At 40.0% G+C, this 6,235-nt stretch overlaps 1 protein-coding gene across 2 annotated transcripts in view; it reads left to right on the top strand.

Annotated features, from left to right (window-relative positions):
• Positions 1–6,235, top strand: part of GALNT16 (polypeptide N-acetylgalactosaminyltransferase 16) — a 126,707-nt gene that overhangs the window by 114,050 nt on the left and 6,422 nt on the right. The window contains exon 16 of one of the 2 annotated variants that reach the window (XR_007064036.1): positions 6,054–6,224. The exons of the other annotated variant lie outside the window; for it this stretch is intronic. The gene's annotated coding sequence lies outside the window, so the exon portion shown is untranslated. The remainder of the gene's footprint in view (positions 1–6,053; positions 6,225–6,235) is intronic. 2 annotated transcript variants of the gene reach the window in all.

Raw genomic sequence — 6,235 nt, forward strand, 5'->3', positions numbered from 1 at the left:
TATCTCCCTCTAAGTCTTCTTTCTCTTTTTCTTTTCTTTTTTCTTTCTCTTCTTTTTCTTTCTCTTTGTTCTTTTCTTTCTCTCTCTCTTTCTCTCTTTCCTTTTTCTTTTTTGACACAGGGTCTCAATCTGTTGCCCAGGCTGGAGTGCAGTGGCACAATCTCGGCTTGGCTCACTGCAGCTGTGACCTCCTGGGCTTAAGCAATCCTCCCACCTCAGCCTCCTGCATAGCTGGGACTACAGGTATATGCCACCACACCCAGCTAATTTTTGCATTTTTTGTAGAGATGAGGTTTTGCCACGTTGCCCAGGCTGGTCTCAAATTCCTGAGCTCAAGTGATCTGCCCGCCTCAGCCTCCCAATGTGCTGGGATTACAGGCGTGAGCCACTGTGCCTGGCCCTCCTCTAAGGTATCACTGAAATTCCCCTCAGACCATCATCTAGCTTCTTTCAACTTCTCCATCTTTCAAGTGCCCTCATGATTTCAGCCTCTCAGCCCCTCCTATCTCCTAGCCCATCATTCACTTGCCTTAATGTCTAGCCTAGAGTGTGAGTAGTCTTTCAGTGTTATGCTTGTTACTTACTTATGATTCCTTGTCCACTTAACACTCCCCCAGCACTCCCTCCCATAAAAATGTTATACTGCTTCATGTACTAAAGTTTATGCTCTTCTCTATCCCTACTGCCTAAGATCATTCTTGTTCATCTTTGTTGCCATTTATGTGCCTTGTTCTGTTTAGTCAGATTCTATCACTATTTACTGTTCACCTACTATATACCAGGCATTTTCCTATGCTACCTCATGAAAAGCAGTATGTGTAGGATGTCTTGCTAGTCAAAGTGTGGTTACCTGGAAGTTTGTTAAAATTGTAGACTGTGAGTCCACCACAGACCAACCAAATAAAAATCTGCTCAAGATACTCAGGTGTGCAACATTTTGAACAGTAGTGGTATATTGCACATTGGAATATCCCGAGGTTTTTAATTCATGTATTTTGAAGTTCTGTCACTGAGTGATGTGTTAGTCTATTTTCTGTTGCTGTAACAAAATACTTACTGGGTAATTTATAAACAATAGGAACTTATTTGGCTCACAGTTCTGGAGCCTGGAAGTCCAAGAGCATGGCACTGGCACCTTGCAAGGGCCTTCATGTCATCCCATGGTGGAAGGCAGAAAGCAAGAAAGAGAGCAAGAAAGAGAGCAGGGGGACTGAACTCACTTTTATGACAAGACCACTCATGATAACTAACTCACTCCTGCGGAAATGACATTAATTTATTCATAAGGCTCATACCCTCATGACCCAATCAACTCTTATTAGGCCTTACTTCCAACACTGTTGAATTTGGGATTAAGTTTCCAACACATAAACTTTGGGAGACACATGCAAACGACAGCAGGTGCACGTATTTTTAGGATTGTTATGTCTCTTGATGAAGCTACACTTTTATCATTACAAAGCATCCCCCTTCATCCCTGGTAATATTCCTTGTTATGAAGTCTCCTTGCCTTATATTAAGTATGGCCACTCCTGCTTCTAATGCTTAGTGTTTGCATGACATACTTTCCGCATCCTTTTCACTTTTATTGTATCTGTGTCTTAACATGTAAAGTGGATTTCTTATAGACCACATATAGTGGTGTCTTGCTTCATGATCCAGTCTGACAATCCGAGTCTTTTCATTGAAATGTTTAGACCATTTACATTTAATGAAATTATTAATGACTGGGTCTAAATTTACCATATTGCTGTTTGTTATCTATTTTCCCACCTATTCTTTGTTCTGGGGTCCTGGCACACAGTAAAACAAAAGCCTCCACAACAAAAGCCTGTAGATGAAGGTGGGAGTTAACATTACCATGGCAACTCCTCCAACCGCAGGTTTCCACATTATCCTGATATCCTATCTTCTTTTGGATTCTTTTTTTTTAAAGTGATTTCTCTAGGGTTTACAAATAGAGATCTTTATTTTATTGTGAGACAAGTTCTCACTCTGTTACCCATGCTGGAGTGCAATCATAGCTCACTGAAGCCGTGAACTTCTGGGCCTGAGTGATCCTCTTGCCTCAGTCTCCTGAGTAGTTAGGACTACAGGCACATGCCACCACATCTGGCTAATGTTTAAATTTTTATTTCGTAGAGACAGGGTCTTGCTATGTTGCTCAACTGCAGTCTAGAATTCCTGGCATCAAGTGATCCTCCTGCCTTGGCCTCCCAAAGTGCTGAGATTATTGGCATTAGCCACCATGCTTGGCCCTCAAATAGACATCTTTAACTTTTCAGTCTACCGTCGACGTTAAAAAACATTTCAACCATGTATTCCATTTCCCCCTATTGTCCTTTACACTATTGTTGTCATACTTTTTATTTTTGAGATACTGTCTCACTCTGCTATCCAGGCTGGAGTACAGTGACGTGATCATAGCTCACTGCAGCCTCCAACTCTTGGGCTCATTTGATCCTCCTGCCTTGGCCTCCCAAAGTGCTGGGATTACAGGTGTGAGCCACCACACCTGGCCTAAGATCCATTTTTAAACTTTGCTATGGTAAATCCATAGTAGCCTTAATTTAAGGGACCACTGGTCTTATTACAAATTTTAACACTTTTGGAGGCTTCAGTGAATCCCTTAGTTGGTGACACAGGACTCTAGTGGTCAGATTATGTTTCCTCACCCTGTATGAGCTCTGAGAATTGTTCTTCTGACTCCCCATTCTATGCCCAGCCTCCTTTCCTCCAAGATAGTAATTCATTTTACTCATTTAATGAGTTAAGACCATTTAACACAAACTCTTTCAACTTTCCATGTCACTTTTTCTTCTGAGGTTAATCATTCCATCAGTATCCTGTTTAGTAATACATTGCACCATTATGTTTCCTCAGGAACAGAGCTAGAAAGTTAACCCAAGGTAACCACTTAGGGCCATGCTTCTCATAAGCAATCTGGTCTAGTAATACATTGCACCATTATGTAATACACTGACTCATGGTCAACTTGGGTTAACATTGTAGCTCTGTTCCTGAGGAAACACAATGGTGCAATGTATTACTAGACAAGACTGCTTATGAGAAACATGGCCCTTATGTGATAAATTACACCTAGACTGGGAGAAACAATGAATACCTGATGGGAAGACATGGCCTTGTGTTTCTCTGAATACAATGACTTGTAAATGCGGCATGCTCCTTGCAGGGACCTAGAAACTATGTCCATGAAGCTATTACAAGAGTTAGTGGCTCTTGTTGTACATGAAGCTTCTAAGTTGGGGTAGCTCTTGCACTTACCTAAGTCTTATCTCTTGCATCTGAGCTACTGTGTGTTTCCGTGTGTTCGGAGGATAATTCTTGGATGGCTGTGTGAACTGCCATGAGGAATACTCCCGTGGAAGAGAAACACTTGATGATGCTGGGCTGGCAAGCTGTTTTCTGTGTCCCCTGTGCTTTTGATTAAATTGGTGCCAAGTAAGACCTCTTCAGGTCTTGTGAATCCAAATATTTGATTGAGTCTAAAAAGGTCCCTTTGACAAGAATTAGAGGTCCATTATTTAGCACAGCTATTCATATTATGGGGCTCCCCTTCAAGGTCTTTGAGGTTAAAACCTTGTCTTTTTCATCTAGCAAAATTTTGGTATTGCTTTGTGATCTGGTGAATCACTTAGGCAATCTAAATTTTTATTTTTATTTTTACCATTAATAGAGATATAATTATTTCCTATCTCAAAGGGTTGCTGTGATGATAAATATGTAGAAATATTTCCTAGGCAGTAAAATGCTATGTCTAAGTGGCAATACTAGTATCATTATGCTAACATATAAATTAATATTTCTTCCAAAAGTATCCTTAGGTTGGGTGCAGTGGTTTATGCCTGTAATCCCAACACTTTGGGAGGCCAAGGCAGGTGGATCACTTGAGTCCAGGATCTCAAGACCAGCCTGGGCAACATAAGGAGACCTCATCTCTACAAAAAATAATTTAAACAATTAGCTGGCCATGGTGGTGTGCACCTGTAATCCCAGCTACACAGGAGGCTAAGGTGGATCACCTGAGCCTGGGAGATTGAGGCTGCAGTGAGGCATGATTGCACCACTGCACTACAGCCTGGGTGATAGAGTGAGACTGTCTCAAAAAAAAAAAAAAAAAAAAAAAAAAAAAAAGAACATGAACATAAAAGTATCCTTACAAATATAGTAACATTAATCAATTTATGTATCAATCCTGATTTTCATTCCAACCTTCAAATGATTAGTTAAAACAATTTGATAAAGGAAGACCATCCTGATGTAAAGTTGACAATCATACTGAGAAAACTACCCTGTCCTCTCTCCCCCAACCCAGCCTGGTCTGCTTTTAGGACAGTACAAAATTATTTGCTCATCCCTTAAGTCCCTCTCTTGCTGAAAGTAAAACAGTTCACTACTACTTCTGTCCCAACAATGGGAGTTAAGACACATAACCTGTTTGAGCATTTAGTAAGTTGCTGGAAATATATTAAGCCAGAGAACTGGAAGGGAAGTGAGATCGTTGAACTCTTTTTATACTCCTGGGACCTCTTAAATCAAGCACTACAGGACAGAAATGGCCATTATCAAGAAATATTTTAGAAATTCTCAGGTATATAAATTTAGATTATAAATCTGGATTAGAGAATCGGAAATTGTATAATCTGTCTGGGAGGTTTCACCTTTATGTAGCAGTATAAAATATCACTTAATAAGCGGAAATCAAACCTGTTTTACTTGTGGTTGGGGAAAGGCCAATCAACCAACACTCTAAATCTCTAACACAAGGACAGTGGTTGTACCTAGGCCAAACCACAGAAACTTTCATTGCACATTTCACCTTCACAAAAAGGCTACTTTAGGCTCTTTTTCTGTGTATTATGGGACATAGACAAATGTTTCTTTGTATTTATTCCAGTTCTAGTCTTCCTTAAGCTTTTAATGATTCCAAACACTGCTCCCCTTCTTTTTGTTCTCATCACTCAACATCTAGAACCCAGATACTTTCTCACATTCCTTTCTCATATTTTCCTCTGTAAGCCCAACACCAGAAATGGTACTATATCTGAGAATCAAGGGAACTCATTCCCTTCAGATCTGCTCTAGAGTATTTAAAAAATAAATTAATAAATAAATAAAGCCAAAGATCCTCTATTTGTTAAAGAAATAAAACTATTTTAGCAGGACAGGCCAAATGAAAAACAGGACAATCAGATTACTTTTGGATCTATTTCTTTTTGTGTGAGATTATTTTAGCTTTATTTATTTTTTTTTTGAGACAGAGTCTCTGTCACCCAAGCTGGAGTGCAGTGGTGCAATCTCGGCTCACTCACTGCAACCTCTGTCTCCCTGGTTCAAGGGATCCTCCTGCCTCAGCCTCCTAAGTAGCTGGGATAGTACAAGCGTGTGCCACCATGCCCGGCTACTTTTTGTATTTTTAGTGGAGACAGGGTTTCACCATGCTGGTCAGGCTGGTCTTGAACTCCTGACCTCAAATAATCTGTCCACCTCAACCTCCCAAAGTGCTGGGATTATAGGCGTGAGCCACCGCACCCGGCCTATTTTAGCTTTAAAATTTGGTTGGTTTCACAGTGAAACATTAACTACAACTCTACTTAATTTTGTCAGGTACCCTAAAATTCTAATAATCTCTTGGTACAGTGATAACATTTCATTAACCAGATTATTCTATAGAAAAACTGAGCACATATGAGTATGTTCTAGGTAAAATTTTGTCTTGCATAAAACAACAAAAAAAATAGTTAAGGCCCTAATGTGCAAGTAGAGGCAGGAACAGGGGGATATTAAACCAATCATGAGCCTTCCAAAAAACTTTCAATCTTATGCTGTGTCAAGATATCACTGGCTGTTGGTAAAGTGCTAATAGCAGAATCAGAGAGTGCTCATGTACTTGCTGATTGAAAATACATGATTGACATGATTGGAAGTACACTCCAGCTTGGGTACAGAGTGAGACTGTCTCAAAAAAACAACAACAAAAAAGAGACAAGACTATCTTACACTTTTTTGTGGTTTTTCCCTTGCCCTTATAGCTTCCCTACAGTAGTGGGTAACTAGTATCCAACTGAAGGCTCTGAAAAGGGCACAAAGACCTCCTAGAAAGAGTACTTCATCTGATCAACACTAAGAAGTTCATCTGTCTGCTGCTGCTGCTGCGGACAAGCTTTATCACCAGAAAGTCATTTATAACGTTTGCGTCAATAGTAGGTACAAA

This window comes from Homo sapiens, chromosome 14 (assembly GCF_000001405.40).
Source record: "Homo sapiens chromosome 14, GRCh38.p14 Primary Assembly".
Classification (NCBI taxonomy): Eukaryota; Metazoa; Chordata; class Mammalia; order Primates; family Hominidae; genus Homo; species Homo sapiens.